Source organism: Homo sapiens, chromosome 4, assembly GCF_000001405.40.
Source record: "Homo sapiens chromosome 4, GRCh38.p14 Primary Assembly".
Classification (NCBI taxonomy): domain Eukaryota; kingdom Metazoa; phylum Chordata; class Mammalia; order Primates; family Hominidae; genus Homo; species Homo sapiens.
Window position 1 is genome coordinate 24,986,161 of NC_000004.12, and position 24,779 is coordinate 25,010,939.

At 44.4% G+C, this 24,779-nt stretch overlaps 1 protein-coding gene and 1 long non-coding RNA gene across 9 annotated transcripts in view; one reads left to right on the forward strand and one right to left on the reverse strand.

Moving 5' to 3' along the window:
* LOC102723675 (uncharacterized) overlaps positions 1-24,779 on the forward strand; it is a 52,704-nt gene that overhangs the window by 11,961 nt on the left and 15,964 nt on the right. For 3 of the 6 annotated variants that reach the window (XR_007058081.1, XR_001741624.2, XR_007058080.1), the window contains 2 exons: positions 7,060-7,248; positions 9,218-10,311. This is a non-coding gene — a long non-coding RNA (uncharacterized LOC102723675). Of the gene's footprint in view, positions 1-7,059; positions 7,249-9,217; positions 10,312-10,336; positions 14,272-24,779 lie in introns of those variants that run through there. The other 3 variants (XR_001741623.3, XR_001741620.3, XR_007058082.1) reach the window with 2 other exon arrangements.
* Positions 5,921-24,779, reverse strand: part of LGI2 (leucine rich repeat LGI family member 2) — a 38,866-nt gene continuing 20,007 nt past the window's right edge. The window contains exon 8 of one of the 3 annotated variants that reach the window (XM_017008356.2): positions 5,921-5,979. In XM_017008356.2, coding sequence (XP_016863845.1) covers positions 5,936-5,979 — 44 coding nt within the window. In that variant the 3' untranslated portion in view covers positions 5,921-5,935. Of the gene's footprint in view, positions 5,980-12,686; positions 18,109-20,624; positions 21,672-24,779 lie in introns of those variants that run through there. The other 2 variants (NM_018176.4, XM_011513850.3) reach the window with 2 other exon arrangements.

The following is a 24,779-nucleotide window of genomic DNA, read 5'->3' on the forward strand; positions in this document are numbered from 1 at the left end:
TTAGTAGAGACGGGGTTTCACCGTGTTAGCCGGGATGGTCTCGATCTCCTGACCTCGTGATCCGCCCGCCTCGGCCTCCCAAAGTGCTGGGATTACAGGCGTGAGCCACCGCGCCCGGCCTTCTATATGATTTTCTGATCTTCTGACCTTTTCAGGACACTTGTTATCTTGTTCTGGCCTCCCTCCAGCTGTTAGCCCGGCCACCAACAGCTGAAATACTAAAGTTTTTACTGAGGAGCCACACCTGCCAGGTGATGAAAAAAGAGGCAGAATTCTCCATTGTAGAGTTTACATTTTGGGAGGTGGTGGTGATGGGGAACAGACAGTAAGCAAACAAGCAACTAAACATATAGTATGCCAGGGAGAGGTAAGAGCAGTGGAGAAAAATAAACAAGTAAGGGGTTAGGGAATATGGGTGGTAGGAGGCAGGAGAGGCTGCTAAGTAAATTCCCTATGATGCTCGTCCCATAGAGTTATCAATACAAGGAGTGACGTCCCACTTGGAATGCCTGCTGTTCTGGTTACTATTGCTGCATAATGAATGACCCCAAAAAGCAGTGGCTTAAAACCATAGTTATTTCATTAGCTCTCATTGTTTCTATTGGCCAGTAATTTGGGAAGACCTTGGCAGGTTGGCTTTAAGTCTCTCAGGCTCCATGGTCAGACCATAGCTGGAGCAGTAGAGGCTGCCCAGGAATCTCCCTCTCTCTTCATTTAGTCTCAGGGCCCCTCCTTGAGGTCTCTGTATGGGCTACGTTGGGCTTCCTCACATCACAGAGGCCTCAGGACAGTAAGACCACTGACATGGGTAGCACAGAGCTCCAGGCGAGTGCTCCAGGAAAGAAAACTGAGGTTGCAACACCTTTTGTGGTAGACACTCCCTAGGGAGGCCCCCATGATTTCTCCCCTTAGAATCTGCACTCTATATAACTGCCTCACCTTGAGGTTGGCAGGAACTGTGACTCGATTCTAACCAATCAAATATGGCAAGGGAATGGGATGTCACACTTGTGATTATGTGTATGTGATATGGCAGTGGTGTAAGGGGATCACAGGTGTAATTAAGGCCCCTAATCAGTTAATGTGAGTTAATCAAAAGGGAGATAATCCTGAACGGGCCTGAGCTAATCATATGGCCTCAAAAGAAGATCTAGATCTTCCCTGTAGTGAAAGAATCCAAGCAGCAGAAATTCAATCTCTCTCTCTCTCTCTCTCTCTCTCTCTCTCTCTCTCTGTCTCCATTGCTTGCTATTATGGGCTGGATTGCTCCGCCACCACCACCAAATTCATATGTTGAAGACCTAACCTCCAGTACCTCAGAATATGACTGTGTTTGGAGATAGGACTTTAAAAGTGGTGATTATGTTAAAAGGAGACTGTCAGAGTGGATCTTAATCCAATCTGATTGGTGTCCTTATAACAAAGAAGATGGAGAGACACCAGGGATGTGTGCACACAGAGGAAAGACCATGTGAGGACATAGCGAGAAAACACCCATCTGTAAGCCAGGGAGACAGGCTTACAAAAGAACTGAATCTGCCAACACTTTGATCTCAGATTTCTAGCCTCTGGAACTGTGAGAAAATAAATGTCTGTTGTTTAAGCCACCCCAAAACTGTGACATTTTGTTATGGAAGCCCTAGAAAAATAATACACTTGTCTTGAAGAAATCAGCTGCCACAAATTCCACAGTCATAAGGAAATAAATTCCGGCCAAAACCTGAGGGAACATGAAAATGGCTTCTTCCCTAGTTGAGCCTTCAGATAAGAACACAGCCAAGACCACACCTGGATTCTGTCCTTGGGAGATCCTGAGCAGAGAATGCAGCTAAGCTATACCCAGATTTCTGACCCACAGAGAGTGTGATATACTAATGTTTTGGTGAGCCACTAAGTTTGTGGTCATTTGTCATGCCACAAAAAGACCTAATTCATCTGTAATAACCCAGCTTAGGAAGTCATAGCACCACTTTTGTTGCATCTTATTGGTTACAAATGAGCCACAAGCCCACCCAGATTTAAGCACTGGGATGGGAGGTGTTGCTGGGGCCAAATTTGGAAAATACAGCCTGTGACACCTGCATAATTGAATTTTAATTTGTAGCTCATATTTGAAACTGCAGCTGGCTTTCTGCATCTACATCAGCTTAATCAACTTGGCATGTTTCCTCCAACTGGTCTTCACATGGGCTTCAGAACCTCTCTGAAGGATGTCTGCCTCTGCCTGTCCCTTTGAGGAGCCCCCAAAGTGCACAATACCAGCACAGAATGTAAAACAGGCTTTTTCTAACATTCCCTCCATGTTTGATGACTGTTCATTTGGGCATTTTTACATGATGCCCTAATAGATAGAAACATTTATTTATTTGTATAGATTTTTCTTCACCCCACCTTTGCACCTGCTGGCTGTTTCCAGGTTCCAACCTGGGAAAGCATAAGCATGACTAGCCAACTGAAAGTGTGTATCTCAGCACCTTGTGAAGTAGGCCCTGAAACAGGGGCATTCAGCCACTTCTCAGGGCTGTACCTGCACTTAGAAGCCCCTAGACTGGACCTGCAGTATTCCTGGGGGTAATAGAAAAACCAGAGTTCAGAGTCCTGTCCCCAGGCTAGAAAGCCAGAAGCACCCTTGGCTCTCCATAAGTCATAACACTGGCTCATGTGCCCTCAGCTAGGAAGGACCTTGGAGGACATTTAGGCCAGACATCTGCTACTCAGTTCCCTTCTACAACATCCCCACCTAGTGGATCTGCCAGAATGCTTCTCCAGTGGGGATAATCATTCCCAGTTGCCCCAGGGAAGAAAAGGGCAAGTTCTACCCAGAAGAAAGAGGCCATTAACCAGCTGGAGTCTCTAGGCTGCCTTCCTTGACCTCTTTAACAAGACAATGGTCTTGATAGCTGGGCACTGTCAACAGAGGATTTTCTAAACTCCCTTCCTCTCATTACTACATTAGAGCCTGGCTGCCTAGATCGTAGAGTTTTACTATGAGACAGAGGAGAAAGAAGCCATGGTATGACAAGGAAATGAGAAGTCTATTCCTTCCAGTCCAAGAGATTGTGAGAGGAAGAGGAGCCAGGCTGAGAAAGCAGAGAAAGAATGGCCAAGGCTCTGGATGTGGGGGGTGTGTTCCAGAGGGAAGGGGAGGGCCAGAAACTCTGCAGAGCCAGAGACATGCTTCCCTGTGAGTCCCAGATGGATGTGCAGAATGTCCAGGATAAGCCCACTAAGCAGCCCCTTTCAACATGACACAATGTAGGGGCAATGACTATGGCAGACGCAGCACTTTTGGCTGCATAGGATCTCATTTACATGCCCTGCTGAGGAGACCTGGAGGGGCTGAAAGGGTTGGCAGAGCGTCCTGCCAGGGGACAGAGTCCACTCAGTCATTTCCTACGACGAGAGCAAATGGCCAAGATCCAGTGATGGGTCCTGGCCAACAACAATGATATTGACCCATATTGAATACTTATTAAATGTCAGGCTTGTCTAAGTGCTTTCCATTTATTATCTCATATTTAATTTTTGAATTAGCCTTGGGAGGTAAGCACTATTATGATCCCCACTTTTCAGATGAGAAGTTCCTGGCCAAAGTTACTCAGCAAGATTAGATAGGATCAACCAGACCTCAGTGGTCCTGAGGTCGGAGACCAAATCAGAACAGGGCAGAAGACGGAGTGTGTCCAGAAGATACTATACGCACGTAAAAACCCTTCCCCATCCCACCCTATCCCCACTGCCACAAGGACCCTAAAAGTTCTCTTGCAAGAGAAGCTGAAGATGGTGGAAATCTGAAAAACTGACTATTTAACTCAAAACAGCCTGAATGGTCTAATAGGACTACTGAAATTGTTAGATTAGATTGACATTACTGGGTTGGTCTATGCCTGGTTTACTTACTATCCAGTGCTAGGGGGTCCAGAAAAAAATTAGGTCAGTTAGACAAAAAATACAGAAGCTTACTTTTTTGCATGTTTGAGTGGAGTGTGAGTAAATGTATGGCTTGACTTCATTTCCTAGTCTGGTATATCTAAGACACTATTTGCTCTGAATAGGAAAGTCTGACAGTTCTGGGTTTGAACCCAGCTGAGCTACTCACTTGCTGTTTGACTCTTGCTTACTTAGCCTTTCAGGGCTTCATTTTCTTCACATGAAAAATAATAATAACAGATTTATATCGTTTAGAAGAGAAGCCAGCAAATATTTTCTATGAAAAGCTAGAGAATAAATATTTTAGGCCTTGGAGTCCTAGAATCTCTATTGTACCTGCTCAACTCTGCCACTGAAGCACAAAAGCAGCCACAGATGATAGATAAGTGGATGTGCAATACTGAATTCCAATAAAACTTTATTTACAAAGCATACGGAGAGACAGATTTGGCTCAAGAGCCTTTGTTTGCCATCCTTTGGGTTGAATATAGACTACACAATGACAAAGAGATCCCAAAATATATTGCCTTAAATAAGACAGAAGTGGCCAGGTGTGGTGGCTTACACCTGTAATCCCAGCACTTTGGGAGGCCAAGTCAGATGGATCATGAGGTCAAAAGATGGAGACCATCCTGGTCAACATGGTGAAACCCCATCTCTACTAAAAATAAAAAAATTAGCTGGGCGTGGTGGCACGTGCCTGCAGTCCCAGCTATTTGGGAGGCTGAGGCAGGAGAATCACTTGAACCCAGGAGGCAGAGGTTGTAGCGAACCAAGATATTGCACCACTGCACTCCAGCCTGGGTGACACAGCAAGACTCCATCTCAAAAAAAAGACAGACATATATTTCTCTCTCCTTTTAACAGTCTAAAGGTGACCATCCGGATTGGTGGGGCAGCTCTGCTCCATGTGGTCATTCGGGATCCAGGTTCTTTCTGTCTTTCGCTCTTCTATGCCTAAGGAACATTCAAGGAATAGCAAGGACAAGGCTGGAGTGGCTAGAGCCAAGCAAGCAGAGGAAATAGTTTAGGAGATGAGGTCAGAAAGGATGTGTGTGTGTGTGTGTGTGTGTGTGTGTTGTGTCAGAGAAACAAAGACAGAAAGAGTAGTTTATGTTCTTGTAAGCTATTGTAGAAATTTGGCTCTTGCTCTATGAATGATGGGAAGCCCTGACTTTTCCTGAACCGCCTGATCTGACTCACACTTTAACAGGATGCCTCCAGCCACTAAGTGGAAAACAGACAAGGAGGAGTCAGGGAGGCAGCAGGGGCCCTAGTGTGGCGGCCACAACAATAATCAAGGTGGGAAACCATGGTGACTTGGGCCAGAGTGGATGTGGTCAGACTGTAGATATATCTTTAAATGCAAATACATTTTTAATTTTTTTGCTGAGAAAGTTTATGACTTTGTTTGGCTTATCAAAAGTTGACCCTTTAAAAACTTACAGATCACTATATAGGCCAGTCACATTTAGATATGACCAAAGGCTTTGAGGAACCACTTAATGTCTTAGTATCACGGTAAATAGCTTCACATGAGAAGGAACTGTGTCCTTTTTGTTAAACACTGAATACTCACTGCTTGGCACAGTGCATAACATATAGCTGGGCACCAGCACACCCAGCTAATTTTTGTATTTTTAGTAGAGACAGGGTTTCACCATGTTGACAAGGATAGTCTCCATCTCTTGACCTCGTGATCTGCCCGCCTCAGCCTCGCAAAGTGCTGGGATTACAGGCATAAGTGCAGGAAAGTGCAGGTATAGCAATGAACACAGAGTCTGCCATAAACTCAACCTTTGTGTCACCTTCATAAGGTGCACAGCTCTCACTTTACCGTTTCTACTGTGTAGAGAACAGGACCCCCAAGGGGAGATGGAGGTGTTCAAACGCGCTAGCCCATCCCCGTTCAAGAAGCCACAGCCTCACAGGTCTCCTAGTTGTGCTTCTGTAAATCACAAGGTCATGGGCTTTTACAATCTTGATTACTTGAGACTCAGAAGATTCAAGCTGCAGATTCCAAGGTGGTACCATGTTCATCATCTTCCACTGTGAAAACAAAGCACACACAGGAAAGTGCTAGCTCTCCCTCCCTTAGGCAAGACACGTCATCTCTGGGTCTCCACTTCCTACCTAGAACACAAGGGGGTTGGAGTAAGAGGCTCCAAAGGATTTCAAGCCCCCTAAACTATTCCCAGACTCAGGCCTTGTCCCACCGCCCCCCACCATGTCCTAAGCTCCAGAGAGGGTGGCTGGCTGGTGGCACACAAGAGGGCTCCACATCAGTGACTACTGGCTACTCACGGGTAAGTGGGTGGTCAGCAGAAAAGGCTGGGCTTAGAGCCAGGTGCGGTGGCTCACACCTGTAATCCCAGCACTTTGGGGGGCTGAGGCGGGTAGATTGCCTGAGGTCAGGAGTTTGAGACCAGCCTGGCCAACATAGTGAAACCCCATCTCTACTAAAAATAAAAAAAAATAAAAAATAAAAAAAAAATAGCTGGAGAATCGCTTGAACTCAGGAGGCGGAGGTTGCAGTGAGCCAAGATCGTGCCATTGCACTCCAGCTTGGGCAACAAGAGCGAAACTCTGTCTCAAAAAGAAAAGAAAAAGGCTGGGATTAGACAGCCCTTCATGAAGAATGGCCTATCCAGCTTCTCATATGACCCACGCAGCAAAATAGACCCCCTCACCCTCTTGTGTCCCCTCACCCCTCACCCCACTGCCACATCCACATGCTCTCCTTGAAATGGGATTACAGAACAAAACATGGGCTCTAGAGTCAAACACATCTGGATCAGCACTTGGCACTTACAATGCTGAGGCTTTTTGCATATTTATGGATTAAAAATGGAGGGTAGCCCAGTGGATAAGGGCACAGCTTCTGGTGCCAGAGTTTCCTGGGTTTAAACCCAAGCTCCTCTTCCTGCTGGCTGTGTGACTCCAGACAAGTTCCTTAACTTCTCTGTGCCTCTGTTGATTCATTTGTAAAATGGGGATAATGATTGGACCTGCCTCACAGAATTTGTGAGGACCAACTGAGATAATAGCTATAAAGCCTTTAGAATAGCACCTGGCACTGGGCTAGGGCTAAAGAAGGGTTAGATATGATTATTGTTTTCTCTGTTTCAGGTCTTATTGGCTGTGCAAACTTGAGGGAGTTGCCTAACCACTCTGGGCCCTGTTTTCCTGGCTTTGCCACTCTTCAGCTGTGTGACCCGGGGAAGCTCTCAACCTCTTTGTGCCTCCATTTCCACATCTGTAAAATGGGGATATGAAAGTGGCTGCTTTGTGAAGAGTCCTGAGAATAAATGAGTTAAGGTATGTAACACTCTGCCTGGTGCCTGGTACCCTGCAAATGTCAACCAGTCATTTAATCAGCATCCTTTTAGAAAATATTAATTGAGGTACACTTTGGGACTAGGCATGCTGGGAAAACAGTGGTGACCCCCACAGACACAGCCTCTGGAATGAGAGCTTCCTCCTGCCTTGCCTCCCACCCCAACCCATGACTTTAATGGTCATAGAAAATTTCATGTTAATTTCACATCTTTAATTTTCTCACAGCTCAGCTAGCGTTTGTTTGAACTCACTTATTTTTCCTTTACAAATGTCCATTTTTTTCCATCCTCTGGGCCAGCATGACTATAAATCATTGTCTATGATTCCATGCTTAGAAAGAGCCAGGCTAGAACCTACCATCGGAGGGTTTTACTGGGTTATTTATTGCGACAGAAAATGCAAATGCATTGGCAGTAAACATAAGGAAGAAAAAGCTACTTCAGCAATATGTGCAGAACGTAAATGCAGATGGAAATGGGGGGTTGGAGTGTCATTTTTAGTAAGTAGAGCAGATACTCCACTTTGCTGAAAATATGAAATACCAGAAAATTCTCCTGACTTTCTATGTTAATGAAAGAAATGTAAAGTTGACCTGCTTCCTTTTTCAGGACCCCAGAATGACATTATATTTCGCTATAGTTAGTGCTATTCAATGTGAAAAGCTGACAAAACAGCAAATAAAAAACCTAAAAGGGAGTGTGCAGAGAACAGAGCTTTGCTGAACAACATCAAGTCCTTTCTCATCACCTGCACTACAGAAAGATCCTCTCTTGGTGCTGCCAAATTTCCTTTTTCTGGTCTGTTTCATACCAGAAAGATCTTTTCCAAGTGGTTAAAAATATATTGTCCTGGTCTCTGTGCATAACTTGCAGACAGAGTTAGGGAACAGGGAGCCCGAGCTCCCCAGATGCACTCAAGGATAAGAAGGGTTGCCTTGTCCTGAATAGTTGACATTAGAGAAAAGGCTTGATTCCTACTCCTGATGTTTCCTTCCCTGTGGAGGGAGTCCGGGAGCACAGTACTCCTGGCACAAGTCTGCAGGCCTCACTCTCCAGTCCCAGTGAGGTGCTATAGGTGCAATGAGGTGAATTAGGACCAGAAACTGAACACGCTAAAACCAATCTCACTCTCTCCCTCTGGTCTGCCTGCCAAGTGCAAATGTTCATCTGCTCCTCCACACTGCAAATATGTGACCAGGTATGTCGAAATGTGTGTTTCGGGGGTCGGTGTTAGGAAACCCATCTACATGCAGATAATAAGCTGTGGTCTCCAATGTAACCCTTATCAGTCATAAAGGGTGCTATTCTGGCATATTCCCTACTTCTCAAGGGCTGCAGTACTCAGGCAGAGAATCGGGGCTTGTGACAGGGCCATCCCAAACCCCAAGAGGTGACAAAGATGTCTCTGAGATATCATGGATAGTCTTCAGAGCATCGTCATCTCCCTCGGGGTCAGGCCACAACCCACCAAACGCAGCTTAGGAGACCTTATTGTCACTAAGAAGTCTTCTCGGCCATGGTTAAGGAAGTTAAAGTGACTACATTCCTCTTCAACATTCAATTCCCAGTCAAGACTCTGCTGAAATGCCTTCAAGAAATCTCCCTGGATTTTTTAGCTAAATTGATCGTTTCTTCTTTTTAATTTCAGTACAACTGTTTACTCACCTGGGTGCACAAATTATTTGTGGAAATGACTTCTCTCCCTTAAACAGTATGTGTGTTGTGGAAATGACGTCTCTCTCTTAAACAGTGTGTATGTGTGTGTGGTGACACGTCATAGTGTGGTATGTGGATGTGTTGGTTCTTTCTTAAATTAATAGACCCATTTGGCAGCAACCTCATTCCTATAAGCCAATAAAAATGGTGGTGTGTTAGTTACTCATTACTGCAAAACAAATTACTCCAAAACACAGCAGCTTAAAACAACAAATGCTTATTGTCTCACATAGTTTCCATGAATCAGGAATCCAGGAGTGGTGTAAGTTTCTCAGGAAGTTGCAGTCAAGACATTGGCCAGGTCTGTGATCATCTGAAGGCTTGACTGGGGCTGACAGATCCACCTCCAAGTTGGTTCACTCCCATGGTGCAGACTGCTGGCAGAAGAACTCAATGTCTCCCACATGGGCCCCTCAACAGGCTGCTTGAGTATGTTCAGAGCATGGTGGCTGGCCTCCCTCCAAGTGAGCAGTCCAAGACCTATTCTGGGACGTCATACACCAACACTTTTGCCACATTCTACTCCTTAGAAGCAAGTCCCTAAGCAAAGCTCATACTCCACGGGAGGGAAACCAGGCTCCACCTCTTGAAGGGAGGGGCACCAAATAATTTGCAAGTATATTTCAAAACCACTGCAGGTCACATGGTGCAGAAAGACAGAAGCAGAGCAGAAGAATATTAAAACCTATTGAATTTACAACAGCAAGAATAAAATACATGATTGTTGGAACATTTAGAGCTCCTTTCTCTCTATTGTCTGCCCAGGAAAACTGATATGGATAAATATGGAAGAGAGCTGGCCAGTGGATGAAATGGTGATGTAAAGGTGAGCTTTGCGGAAGAGTGGAGAAAAGAGATTGGCACTGAAGTGGGCAGTGAAAGAGCAAGAGGCTTGTGGGAGACTTGATTTCAGAGGCAGCGTTTGGATGGTTATGAACAGGCTTTCCTCTTCTTTCAGGGGTACCGTAAAGATCAGAATTAATAGTATGACTATTTGGTTTGGAGGCTGTTTCATTAAGTATTACACTGTGGAGAGACTGGATCACATGGGTCATATTATTTATTCAGGTTACATTCACACTCCCTGTGAATTCCCACCCTATGCAAACTGGCAAGAAAACGCTATTTTAAAAGATTCTTGAACGCTTTTGTATCTTTCTTAAGACTTTTGTATACAGCACTGTTCACATAGTAGGTAGTCAAAATTAGTGAGAAAGACTCAAGCAAAAAGTTTATTTGGATTTCCATATGATTTATAAGCCAAGACGCTATAATCCAAAGAGGCAGGAAAATGATGTAAACTAGAAATAAAAATATTTGTAAGTGACAATGTGTCCTGAATTCTTTGACAGGTTAAGAGAAATAAAAGCAGGAGACGAGGAGAGAGTCACACCACGGTGAGCAGAGAGTTGAGCTGGGGCCCGGGACAAGCATCAAAAGTGTCACTTCCTCTGAGGTCCCAACCCTACTTCCATAGGCTCTGCAGCCCACACCACCTTGGAACCAAACAGGGAGGTGGCAGAACTGATGGGCTGGCCGCACCACCTTAAATCTCTTAGCTCCAAAACTGGAGGTGCTCATCAGGACCCTGCATCATTTCTGTGGGTGATGGATGGTGTGAGGTAAGGCACAGAGATCTAGACTTATTTCTCCTTCCACAACAATTGTTTCTTGGAAGAGGAAGAAAACTTAGCTGGATTTTATCTCTTTGTGTGGATTTCTGGGGTAGACACCCAGAGGTGTGTGCAGGAGCATGCTCTTTGGGGCCCACATAGAGATTCCAGCAGGTGCTGGAGATTCTGGGGTAGCCTTTCCATGACTGCTGGCCTCTTTTCCCCTGTGTTGCTTTGGTTTGCTGTCTGGCTAAAGGCAGGAGTGGGAGAAACTCACATTCCACAAGAGGCTGCCTGGAGCAGAGGCCAAGAGGGTAAGGTTTGTCCAAGGCCTTCCATCTCAGCTTTGCTGCCAATTTGTCAGAAAAAAAATCATTTGTGCCAATTAGACCCTGGTTAGGAAAGTGTTGTCCTGTCTGGGAAGCAGGTACAGAAACCAGTTGCAAGGACAGGAGATCAATGAAAGTGACACATTACTTATGCCTCCAATTCTTCTCAGCCCTCAATTTAGTCTCTGAGACACAGAGAAAATAAGTGTACTTGCCTTGCTAATGGGTACATGGTTGGCTTTGGGCAATTTATATAGAGCACTTTAGTTCCAAGATGAAATGCACTGAGATATTAGGATTAGTCTCTGCTTTAATGAGTTTCTGACTTGCAGGTTTGAAAAAATTTAGTTCTTTTCTGTATTTCTCTACAAACACAAAACAATGATTTAATGGTAAAACAACAATGAAAAGAAACTAGGCCATTCTCTCCAAAATGATTAAAAGGGTACTTCTCCTGACCTGACATAACCTTTCCTCATATGAATTTATTATCTGTATTCACACTCATATTCCACTGGAATGCCTTGGGTCCAGGTGGATGGTTGCTTATGGTTAGTATCGATTCTGAGCAGGTAGGCATTCATACTGTTTGGTTGACGCCTGTGGTGAACAGACCTTAAGGTGACTTCTTGCACCCCTGAGTCATTTTCTTGTATAATCTCCTCTCTTTGAGGACACAAACTGTGCCCTGCTTCAAACCAGTGGAATAGAGACAAGGTGATGAGATCTTTGGTTATTGCACCTAACTGCTTCATTCATTGCACAATTAGTCACACGCTGTTTTGTGATGCAGAACATTTTTTTTTAAGAGATGGTAGTCTCACTCTGACACCCAGGTTGGAGTGCAGTGACATGATCAGAGCTCACTGCAGCCTCAAACTCCTGGGCTCAAGGGATCCTCCTGCCTCAGCCTCCTGAGTAGCTGGGACTAGAGGTGCGTGCCACCACACCCAGCTATTTTTTATTTTTTGTAGAAATGGAGTCTCACTTTGTGGCCCAAGCTGGTCTCCAACTCCTGGGCTCAAGTGATCCTCCCACCTTGGCTTATCAAATTGCTGGGATCACAGGTTTGAGCCACCGTGCTTGGACTGTGATGCAAAATTTTATCTAAACCTTGTATTGTTGACTATAGCATCATGCACTTACTATTTTCCCTCTTAACTAGATTTTAAGTCTCTTGAGGGCAAGAACTCTGTTCTTGAAGATTTTCAGAAGCCCGATAGCATATGGAAGTACTTGACACACAATAAGTACACAGTCATATGTGATTTGGTTTCTGAGCCTTCATTTGTCCAACAAAACCAGATGGGTCTTAGATGAAGATATACGTGGCAAACACTGCATGCCTACTGTGGGTCAGGTTAGCTCCCAGACATGCAGAAAACAAAAGCTCTGTCCTCAGGAGTTCATGATGGTTCAACCCAATCAACGAAGTCTTGCAATCTCACTTCCTCCTTACCTTGTAGAGTTGGAAGATATCCAAATATTCCTAGAGTTCTTTGTCAATCTGTCAGGATTATAATTCCACAGATCAGGCAGAGTGTAACCATGAAGCTCTTCAGTGAATTTTTAGTGACTTTTGGGTGATTTTTTAGTTTCCAAGTAGAAGAAGCAAAAGACCCTTGTGGTGGTTACCTTCCATCTAAACAGAGAGTGAGCTACAAAGATACTGCTGTCCCTCAGTGGCCCATGGGTGTCCCTGCAAATCTGTGACTCAAGTGGCCATATTCATATTAAGCAGACCAGAGATCAAAACCATATTAGGCATGAACCACTTTTTATTCATAGGCTTACCGAATATATTGAATTAAGAGGCATATAGTTTGTATACCCTATTTACCAAAAAGAGCTAAATATGTATACAGCCTAAAATACATCCACTGTAGTCTGCATACTGTAAAACTTGCTTCTTTACACATAGAAACTATTCTTATTTTACCTAGGTTATGCACTTAAAATACATACAAATGGTACCAAATAGCATATTGGCCTATTTTATCACAATTCTTATACATTCCTGATAATCAAAGGGACTGATAGGGAATGCATAGTTTCCTACTAGAAAAAAAGTAGATTTTGATACAAGCAATGGAATACAGTAAGGATAATAATAACTTGGTTTCGATCTCAGTAGCTTTACAATATGCTTCTTATTTGAATGAGCATTACAGTTGGCTCTCTTCATTAATAATTGAGATGTTGTTAATCTTCCTGGTCATTCTACCCTCTGCTTGCCTGGCTGAGGCAAAAGAAATCATCATCCTTTTTTCCTTTTCTTTCAGTTTGTTTTTACTTTCCCAAGTTTCCTCCAGAGCCATCTGCCCCACTTTGCCATTCCCCTTCCATTGCCACCCAAATCCGGACCACTTTCTAATTGCATCATTGCATACAACTAGATTATTGTATTCCACTCCAGGAAGCTGTTGAACAGAATCTTTGGCCGCTGCCTAATTAAAGAACTTCCTTCCGCAGCTGCGAAGGAGAGGCTGATACCTCTGCAGAAGAATCAGGAAGCCAGCTTAAGAGGTTTTCTTTAGGTGGCATGCAAATAGACTCCCCTCCTGCAGATCTTCATCTCACCTTCATTATACCCCAGGCCAGAGAAATTTCCATCATGAGCACTCCTGACCGCCAAACCTCTGGCATCCCATGCTGATTTCTTTCCTAAAAATACACAGACTCTCACTCCATGGGGAAGAAAAAATGCAACTCTGCCATTTCCAGTGTGCTTCCTGAAGGCTGATGACGGCCGAGAGCAATTCATCACCACTCGTGCATTCAGGTTTTGAATTTTTCCTTCACAGATCTCTTCTTGTTTATCTGGTGGACAATGTGACAAGAACCAGATGTGTCTCAACCTCAACATCCTCCCCATAGCTATGCAGGGGGAGAAACAACCAGACCAGCTAGATATCCTCCTTAGTACAACAGAAAACTATCCAAAATTTCTGGACCACTTTCAAGAGTGGGGCCTTGAATGTAAAAAGAGTGGGGCATGCAATTGCATGTTTGTTAATTGTTAAATGGACCAGTTGATTGAATGGTGTCTATTCAGTATGATTTTTCTTCTGGCTATGCATATTTTATTGCACTTTTTACTTTATCTCAAGGTGCTGCCAAATTCAAAATCATGCTAGAAATGAAAGTCTTTCTCTGGGAGAGTATAGCAGGGTGTCTTAGAAAGAAAATACAATGTCTGCTGATCAGAGGGAAAGTTATTGCTTTGCCAGTCCCTATTGGATAACCATGGCAGGCAATTCATATAGTTTTCATGTCTATTTCCTTCTCTCTGAAATTAGAATAATACCTGCCCTGCAATAAACTTCAGAGCTATTTATGAACAAATGAGGTGAGTACTAATGTGCATTGGAAAAATATAAAGCTTTGCTAAATGTAAGGTGGCCTTATCATCCACTGTCCAATAACACAGTGCTCTTCATGTCTAAGAGTTATTTTTAGAGTCTTGATAATAGACCCATTCCCGACCCCATGGAGTATGGGGACAAGCCCCCTTTAAGGAAAGGCCTTAAAGCCACATGGCCGCACAGAGGGATCAGTCCAGGAGCCTCGCCACAAAGTTCATAAAGAAGAAATAAGCTGAGCAGACGACCACCCAGTGGGTGATGGGAGGGAAAGTAGAAGAAAGATCCACCCCCTCCTTCAAGCTGATCTCCACTGGGGACGGTCCACATATTTCTCTGCTTTGCATTTTTGCTGTTGCTTGGTTGGTTTTTTGTTTTACATTATTACTGGAAGAATGCTTCTTGCAGAAGTTGTTTAAAACTTCAGGGATTCTTGGGATGGAGCAGTAAGATTAATGAAGCAAAGATATCACCACCCCGTGCCAAGAACATCTATGCTCCTTTAGTAAGTTGGCCAGAACAAATATCTCCTTCCACAGCACAGGCGCTCTGTAGACTACAGGCTTTAGTCTTGTATAAAATAACATTATAAAAAAGGAAAACCTGATTGCAGTTGAGTGGGTCACCCCCTTCTCACACCCCACCCATCACCTGTTTAGATCGTTCTTTCACCTCCTAATTCCCCATCTGGACTCAACAGCTCTCCCCATCCTAAGCCCAGCATCCTGTGTTTCCTGGTTTCCCAGAATCTGGCAATGTGAGCAGAATAGTGAGTGCAGGGGGTCAGTCGCTCATTTACCCTCAGAGGGGCAGCTGGGAATGTGATACCTCTCTGCAGTAGCAACACTGTGAAAAGATGCCACCTTGCCATCTCTACAGGTGGCTGGAATTGGGAACATCACTTTGATCTGGCATAGTTGCTGGGACTGTCTAAATATCTCCTACAGTTTGCCAAGTACCCATTTTTCTGCCCAGGTTTATCTGAGTGGTTCCATGCAACAGAAAGAATAGCTTGCCATCTTTAGGACTGGAGGAATGGCAAAGCTCTTTCCCTTTCAGCCTCCAATGGGGGGACCTGGGCATTTGTAGCCTGTTCAAAGAAACCAAGAGGGAAAAAAAAGTGCAGAAGAAAAGTAATTTGCACTTAAAAATGAAAACAAACCACTTTTCTCCTGTTTGCTTGGTATTTTGCAGAAGTTTCAAGTAACAACACTACTATGCGTGGGTGAGTTCGTTCATTAAAATCCGTGGTTTCTGAGGCTAGAAGCCTCAGCCTACAGTCCCAGAATGTACCCAAGAGTGCTGATGTAACATCAATGCTTCATTCTCTGAGTGCTATTTATTGTCTCAATCTTCATTGCTTAAAGTCAGGAAACAACAAACACATTCATATTTGTGGCAAAACATCTACCTACTCATGACATGGCAAATAGTCATTTTACAATAACAATACAGTACAATATGATCGTGCTACTTTCATGGCTAGGAATGAAGTTGTTGGGTTTCTCTTTCAGAGCTACCCCTAAAGGCATTCACTTTATATTCTCTGAAGAGAACCAGCTAACCAGGCGGAACATCCACTAAGAATCTTCCACATAACCAGACCCCAGGAGCTTGCCTATTGCCCATACCAGAGAGGCCCATTTGGAAATACACCATCTGGTCTCTTGAGCACAGACCTGGAGTGTGGGATTCAGCTTGGCTGGCTCCAAAGCTGGCCCCTACTGATCAGCCTGAGATCCCCAGCCTGCACAGGCTGATTCCACTGCCAACACGTGGCCCCATGTGGGTCCTGGCGGGGGTTCCTTTGGTAAAGTACTGGGAGAGGAAGGAGTCTTCCTATCTGAGTATCTTGGGTTGTGATTTGGTGTGGGCTGCACTGGCAGTGCAATAGCAGCAACTCAACAAAACAGGACTGTTACACAAGCGGGGCGGAAGGCAGGTGGGCTGGCAGGGAAGTTGGTATTCGATTACTTGAAATATTAAGTTGTCCAGAGGGCAAGGACACGCACAAATCAAAGGGCCACCTCTAGGTTTCAAAGCAGGTCGAGATCTGTGTAAAGTCCCCTTTGACTTCATAAAATCTCACTTCAAAAATTCTACCGAATGCTCATCAGACGGAAATAACTGTTTCATCCCTCTAAAGGATGAAATGAAAAGCACCAGTCTTTGGCCTGCCTGCTGGTTACCCACAAACTCAACGGGTGGGTTCTGAGAAGCAGATGAGCCATGAAGAGCATCAAACAAGCATTACTGCTCTGGCCACCACCAGGGTCACCTTTGAACCGTAAGAAAGAGGGAAAAACTCCTTTGAGTCACTCCTGGGCCTACAGCCTGTGCTGGGTCTAGACATGTGTCACCAGAGTATTGTCTTTGTGGCAGAGGAAGCAATGTCAAACACTAAATTGTTAACATATCCATGACAAGCATTCATATGAGCCAACAAAATCACCAAGGTTCTGCTATTAAGGAGGATTCAGGAAGACTGGGCATTACTTTCAGGAAACTGGGATGACTCAAAATAGCACTGCTGAGTGTTACAAGATTTTTAAACTAATAATCAGCAAATCTTTTCAGCAGACTTTTGGCTTTAAGAGTTCTTACCAAAAAGATTGCTAAAGTGGAATGAGAGGGGCTCAAAGTTTTTTTTTATTTCATTATAAGTGCTGTCCCATCTTATCCAATTGTCTTCTTCCTCATCAAAAAGCGGGGGGGAAGCATATTACATTTCTAGATGATAAGAGTAAATGCTGTACTCTTTTCTCAGAAATTACAGGCTTTAAGATTTTTTTTTAAATGGTAGAATGGGCATGTCATGCAGTTAGCCAATAAATGCAATCCCTGATTAAAATGTGAGTTCTAAAAGTTTGAAAACATCTAACTATTTCAGTGCTTTTTAATTTCAGAGCTCTGAGCCTGGCTTTGATTTGTTTGTTGATTTTTCTTGGTCCTCTTTTGTGAGAGCTAATGCTACATTTCTCTTAGTTTCACCCACCACACCTTCACAAACTTAAGTCAACAATTATATGTTCAAAAATCTTTGTTTTCCCTTTGAAACTGGATGCAAAAAAGAAATCTCTCCTGTCGGTGGAGACAGCTGTGAATGAACGAGGCGCCTGCACGTAAATCTCCTTAAACTTTTTGAATAGCTGCTTCTCTTTATCCCACTGGTATATCTGAGAGAATGTATAGTCACTCCCCAGGGCCAGGTAGTGATTATCTTTAAAAGAAAAGGGCTGCAGGGTCATGGCCCCCCGGGATGGAAGAGCTTGGATCTCCACAAACTGCTTACTGTTCCACCTCATGACCCGGGAGTCCCCGATGAAGCGGGTAAGGGAAAGGTAGAGGGTATTTTGCATTCGGAAGCTCTTCACAGCCAGTACGTCCTCCATGTTGGGGATGTCACCATGGGGGACAAACTTCTTAGAGCTTTTATTCCACTGGAGGATGATGGGGACCTGGGAGCGGCTGGACAGGATGAGATGCGATTTTCCATCGATATCAACAAACTCCGCATCCGTGTCCCTGAACCACTCGTGCAGTGACTGGTAAGAATAGAATCCTTTGCTGTTCCATTTATAAACTGTGGACAGACCAGCCTTTGAGCTGTCTGCGATGACAAAGAACGTCTCGTCGTCGATCTGAAACAGCTCGATGTCATTGGGCTTGGAAATGCGAGAGACCTCTATGTCTTGGAATTTGACAAATTTGGTCCAACTCTCGTCGTATTTGTAAATGTGAGAGCCACCGAAGAGCTGGGCTACCACCACAAAGACCTGATCATCGATGAGAATGGCCTTACAGCCCACGATGGACTGACCTGTGCTCCAAAATAAAGGAGAGGACATTAGTGCAACTACAGCTAAAAACGCATCTCCGCTTGTACTCTTATACACTGCTGGTGGGAGTGTGAAATGGCACAGCCACTATGGAAAACAGTATGGTGGTTCCTTGAAAAATTAAACATGGAATTACCCTATGAGCCAGCAATTCCACTTCTTTGTATATACCCAAAATAATTGAAAGCAGTGACTCAAAGAGATATCTGTACACCTAATGCTATAGACCAAATGTTTGTGCTCTCTCCAAATGCATATGATGAAACCTCATCTCCAATGTGATGGTATTTGGTGGTGGGGCCTTTGGGAGGTGATTAGGTCATGGGAGCAGAGTCCTCAGGAATGGGATTAGTGCCTTCCAACTCCCTCTGCCCTTTCACCACATAGACACAGCAAAGAGGTGGCCAGCTATGCAGTGGGTTCTTGCCACATACCAAATCTGCCAATGTCTTGATCTTGGACTTCCCAGGCCCAGAACTATGAGAAATAAATTTCTGTTGCTTATAAGCCACTCAGTCTACGGTATTCTGTTGCAGCAGCCCAAACAGACTAAGACACCTATAACATCATCCTTCACAATAGCCGAAAGGTGGAAGCAACCCAAGTTGCTTCAATGGACAAATAGATAGACAAAATGTGGCATATACATAAAATGGAATATTATTCAGCCCTAAAAGGAGGAAAATTCTGACATATGCTACAACATGGATGGACTTTGAGGGCATTAGGCTAAGTGAAATAGCCAGTCACAAAAAGACGAATACTATATGATTCCACTTATATGAGGTACCTAGAGCAGTCAGATGCATAGAGACAGAAAGGCAAAGAGTGGTTTTCAGGGGCTGTGGGATGGGGCAAATGAGGAGTTGTCATTTAATGGCACAGAGTTTCAGTTTTTCAAGATGAAAAGCGTTTGGACGTTAGTTGTACAACACTGTGAATGTACCTAATGCCACTGACCAGTATACTAAAACATGGTTAAGACAGTACATTTTGTGCTATGTGTATGTTGCCACAATTAAAACAATTTTTTTAAGTTGTTTAAAAATGTGCTTCCGTAGAAATGGCTGAGTGAGGTCTTCAGGGCCTCTGGAGTCCTCAGAGGCAGGCATACAATTCAGGAAACTCACTAACGCACCAAGGGAATTATCATCATGTTTTTAAATAAAGCTACATTAATTAGCTTGATTTAGCCATTCCACAATGTATACATATTTCAAAACAACATTTTATACACAAATAAATAGATACAATTTTAATTTGTCAGTTTAAAAAATGTGTATCCTTGAAAAAAAAAAAGTATTTCCTGACTCCATATGGCAGAAGGAGGCAGTTAAACAGGCTTCTCCTGGGGTGGTGGGGGGTTGCGGGGGGTAAGGGATGATAAAAAGGCAGGAGTGAGGTCTCAGAGGCAGGAGAAAAAGATTTCTGAGTGTTCTTGAAGACATTTGGGCTCTTTTGATTTCCAGAGCTAAAGGAAGCCAAGTGGAGGCAGAAAGAGTAGGATTAAACCTTATGACACAGACCAGGTGGCCTAGGGTTCAAAGCCCAGCCCCGCACCTTGTAAGCTTTCTGACCCTGTGCTGGTTAACCCAACTCTCTGTGCTCAAGTTCCTCATTCGTAAAATGAGACTGAAGATGCTGCCAGCACTGATCTTACAAGTGACTATAAGGATGAAATGAGATCATTCATGGCAAGCGTTTTTAGCATGGAGCACTGGCACCTAGCGGGTGATTGCTCATTAGTGGCTATCATTATTGAACAATTGAAGCAATTGTCACTATAATCACAAGACCTTGCCCCTTAGTGCTTGCCCATAGTGGGCATGCATAAGTATCTAAAGAAGGAGCAATAGTCTGAATGATCTAGCTCAGACGTCATAAAACTAAGACTTTGCAGAGGCAGGGGACCATTTTCCGTGGTGACTCTCCCCTCTGGCTCACCTCCCACCATCCCTTATCACCCTGCACCCAGATGCCCCCCAGACCTCCCCATTCCAGAAGACCAACCACTAAGCAAAGGACCACCTACGAGACCACTGATCCTCCATCTAGATCACTCCATTAAAGGTTATTTCTTTCCTTTAATTTTCTAGGTAATTTGGACCAAAGTGAATTTGGCCAGAATCCCAAATTCTAAGGATGATTCCATTTCTATCCTAAGGATTGGCTCTGGGGGCTGACACTGGGTGGTTTTCAGAGTGGCATTTACTTTTCTCTTTCACCATTCTGGTCTTCCTGCAAGGACCTAATCCCTTTTCCTTGTTTAAAACTAATTATTGCATTGTTTTTCCCTGAGGATATGTGTGTTAAATGTTTACCAGAGCAAATTTTGAAAATACTAAGAGGTAAAACTTAAGAAGTGTGTAGGTATGACCAGGCACTATTCTAAGCACTTTACATGCATTTACTTATTTAATCGTTATAACAACTATATGAGGCATATACTATTCTTAGCATCATCATCATCCCCATTTTATAAAGGGTAAAACCGAGGCACAGAGAAGTTAAGTAATTTATTAAAAGTCACATAGCTAGTATGTGGTAGAGACTGAGATTTAAATTCAGATAATTTGGCCTCAGTCTATACTCTGATACCAAAGAATCAAAAAGCACAAAGAAGAAAATACAAACCAGTTGTACTATAAATGTGAAATAACACTTAATATCTTGATATATTATTTAATTTTTAATCTGTGCACATATTCAAGTATTCTTTTTTTAAAAAACTGGGGTTTACGTTATCCATAGATATTTTATAATCTACTTTTTTTTCACTTGGCGCCCATGCTGTGAACATTTCCTCATGTGGATGATTCTTCAACAACTTGATATTGACACTACACAGTATCCCATTGCATGGATGCACCATATTTTACTTAATTAATGCTCTACTGTTGGACATTGCAATTATTTCTAGCTTTTCCTTATTGTAAAATAACGTTTCCTTTAAAATATTGTTAAATAACGTTTTGATACCATCTGGCAGTGTTCTCAAGTGTAAGAATTGCTGGGGCAAATGTTGTGCACATTTTTAAGCTTTTGGGTTTTAACTGCCAAGCTGCTCTTCAAAAGCGGCATTGATTTCCACCCTGCCAGCACTAATTGAGAGGGCAGGCTCCTCGTCCCCTTCTTGAGCACCTGGCTATGGAGGCTACCACCCCCTAGAAGTGTCCTAGAGGTCTGCCTGTCACAGCCAAAGGACCGCGTGAAACAGAAGGAATTCCTTTCCCGGCTCTGTAACACACTCTGTCCAGGTTAGCCATGGAGTTGTCAGTAGCAGACAGATCAGTGTGTGTGTGTGTGTGTGTGTGTGTGTGTGTGTGTGTGTGTGTGTGTAGGAAGAGGGATTATAGGTTGGAACATACTTAGCCTGCAGAAATCAAAAGGCGAACAAAATAAACCAAAATTGAGAAAGCCAAGATGAGACGTAGAGAGAACAAGGGGAAGTGAACCTCAGGGTGAACATGACCATGGGTTTCTCTCTCTCCCCTGGTGCACATGGACAGCTGGAGCCATCCCTTTGGCAACATGGTCACCAGGCCTGCAAAGGAGGAAGTGCATGGATTGAGAAAATCCTGTCCTGCCCTTGTCAACTTGGGGACCACCCCATGGCCAAACAAGATGTCAAATGAGGTGTGCACAGCACAGGGAGGGAGAATGGTCCACATTTACCTTGTTCTTCTTGAAGCAAGTAGCACCTAGGGCAGTGTCCTTGCCTACCCACGTGTGCTATAGGGCTTTCCCTCATGCCAGGCTCAATGCCAGCAACCGAGAGACAGCTCCTCTCCTCCCTCCATGAAGTGATCCCCCTTCCTTCTGTAGCACCACCTTCTACCTCCTTCAGGGAAGTCTGCTGGTCTCTGCATTCCCTACGTTCATGCAAGTTGTGGAGCAGTTTTAATGGAAATCAAAAAGGTAGAGTCTGTGGGTGGAAAAGGAGGGTTGCTCCTATTTTACCCCCATTAAATCCTTATAGTATTGGCCAGGCACGTTGTCTCACACCTGTAATCCTAACACTTTGGGAGGCCGAGGTGGGTGAATCACCTGAGGTCAGGAGTTCAAGAACTCCAAGGCCAACATGGTGAAACCCCGTCTCTACTAAAAATACAAAAATTATCCAGGCATGGTGGTGTGTGCCTGTAATCCCAGATACTCGGGAGGCTGAGGCCAGAAAATCACTTGAATCTGGGAGGTGGAGGTTGCAGTGAGCTGAGATCACACCACCGCACTCCAGCCTGGGTGACAAGAGTGAGACTCTGTCTCAAAAAAAAAAAAAAAAAAAAAATCCTTATAGTATTTCCCTGAGTCCAATACAATGCTGATCCCATTTTACAGATAAAGTGGAAATTCCTAAAATCTCCACTTTACAGATGAAAGGGGCTCATGCACATTAAATCACTTGGCCGTGGCCACCAGCTAGTAAGGGCTGGAGCCAGGAAGATCAAAAGCCAGTCTGATGTTGGAACTCATTTCTTAGGCTTGGTGGTAAAAAGAGGAGCCGGGTGGGCTTCATGTCATGCCGCCAAGCTGTGGGATGATTCAGACTTGGAGACTGAGGGGCTGAGGAATCTTTGGAAACTAACAAGGTCCAGCAGGGCTCTGGCCCCAGCCACACCCACTCGGATCGCACTGACTTCCTCCCCACCAGCTCTGTGGCCTCCGTTTGGTCCAGGCCATACTCGCTTGCCTGGGTTCCGGATTCTTGCCATAGCCTCTTAGCTAGCCACTGTGCTTCGACCTTTGTGCTCTCACTCTAAAAGACTATGTTTGACCCGGTAGCTGGACACAATCCAGCCTCTTAGCCAGGTACCTGCATCCTCCTGCCTCTGCACAAAACCCTCCATGGCTTTGTAGGACATTCAGAGGAAAAGCCAAGTCCTTCCTAGGACCTGTGAGACTCCATGATCAGCCTTTCTGACTTTGGACTCATCAACTGCAACTCCCCGCTGGCTCATTTGGCTCATGCCAAACCATCCCCCTGGATGTTCTTCAAACAGGAAAGATGCTCTCCTGCCTCTACCTTTGGACTTGCTGCTCCCTTTGCCTGGAATGCTCTTCCCCCCTCTCCATGCGAACCAATCCCTCCAATCCCACAGGTCTTATTCAAGTAGCACCTTCTTGATGAGGCCTCTCCTGGACCCTCTACCCAAGCCTTCAAATCTTCCCACACACAGTACTCCACATCTTCCTTCTTCACTTTATTTCCCCTCCTTAGCACATTTCTGTCTGATGTGTTTTTTTAAATACTACAATTATTTTTACAATAATTATTACAATACGAATATTCTTTCTTATTGTCTCTTTCTCCCATTAGAATGGGAACTCCTGAGGGCAGAGGTTTTTTTGTTTTGTTTTGTTTTTTTGAGATGGAGTCTCACTCTGTCACCCAGGCTGGAGTGCAGTGGCACGATCTTGGCTCACTGCAACCTCCGCCTCCCGGGTTCAAGCAATTCTTCTGCCTCAGCCTCCTGAGTAGCTGGGACTACAGGTGCATGCCACCACGCCCAGCTAATTTTTGTATTTTTAGTAGAGACGGGGTTTCATCATACTGGCCAGGTTGGTCTCAAACTCCTGACCTCGTGATCCACCTGCCTCGGCCTCCCAAACTGCTGGGATAACAGGCATGAGTCAACACGCCTGGCCAGAGTTTTATCTAGTTTATTCACTGCCGTTTCCCCAGCATCAAGAACATGCCTGGCTCAGAGTAAGCGTTCAAGAAATCTTTGAGAATGAATGAATAAATTTAAGAATGCCACCAGCTGCAGTATATCAGAAGGGCAGGAGTTCAAGACCAGCCTGGCCAACATAGTGAAACCCCGTCTCTACTAAAAATTAAAAAATTAGCCGGGTGCGGTAGCAGGTGCCTGTAGTTCCAACTACTCAGGAGGCTGAGGCAGGAGAATTGCTTGAACCCGGGAGGCAGAGGTTGCAGTGAGCCGAGACTGCGCCACTGCACTCTAGCCTAGGCAACAGAGCGAGACTCCATCTCAAAAAAGAAAAGAAAAGAAAAAAGAAAAGACAGGGCTGTCCTACCAAGGTCAACCTGGGAGAGAAAACCAGTGGGGTACAACCATGAGAAACCCTGGGCTCAGCCCTGAATAAACAGTGGGTGACTGGACATGCCTAAACCTTGACCTCATCATTTGTAAGGTTGTGAAAAGGATGGCAGCTTTGAGAAGCGCCCGCTCTGTGCACTCAATCCTCATAGCATCCACATGAGGCACATCCACTCCCCATTTCCCAGATGAGAGAACCAAGCTTCAAAGGCACACATTCTTCCTAGACCACGGCAGAGTTGGGAGTATAATCCGTGTGCATCAGTTTTCAAAACCTGAGCTCTTTCTAGTATGTATGCCTCCTCTCTCTAAAGAAGAGAGCTTTTGTCCTCTAACCTATGGGCAGGTGTAACTCCAAGAGCTGTTATGAGCTTCCAATGGGATAAACTAGGCCCTGGTGCCTCACAGGCTCACGGCCAACATCGGCATTGGAACTTGTTCAAGAGCAAAGCTCAGCCAGGCATAGTGGCTCAAGCCTATAATCCCAGCACTTTGGGAGGCCAAGGCAGGAGGATCCCTTGAGCTCAAGAGTTTGAGACCAGCCTGGGCATCATAGTGAGACCCTGTCTCTACAAAAAACAAAAAATTAGCTG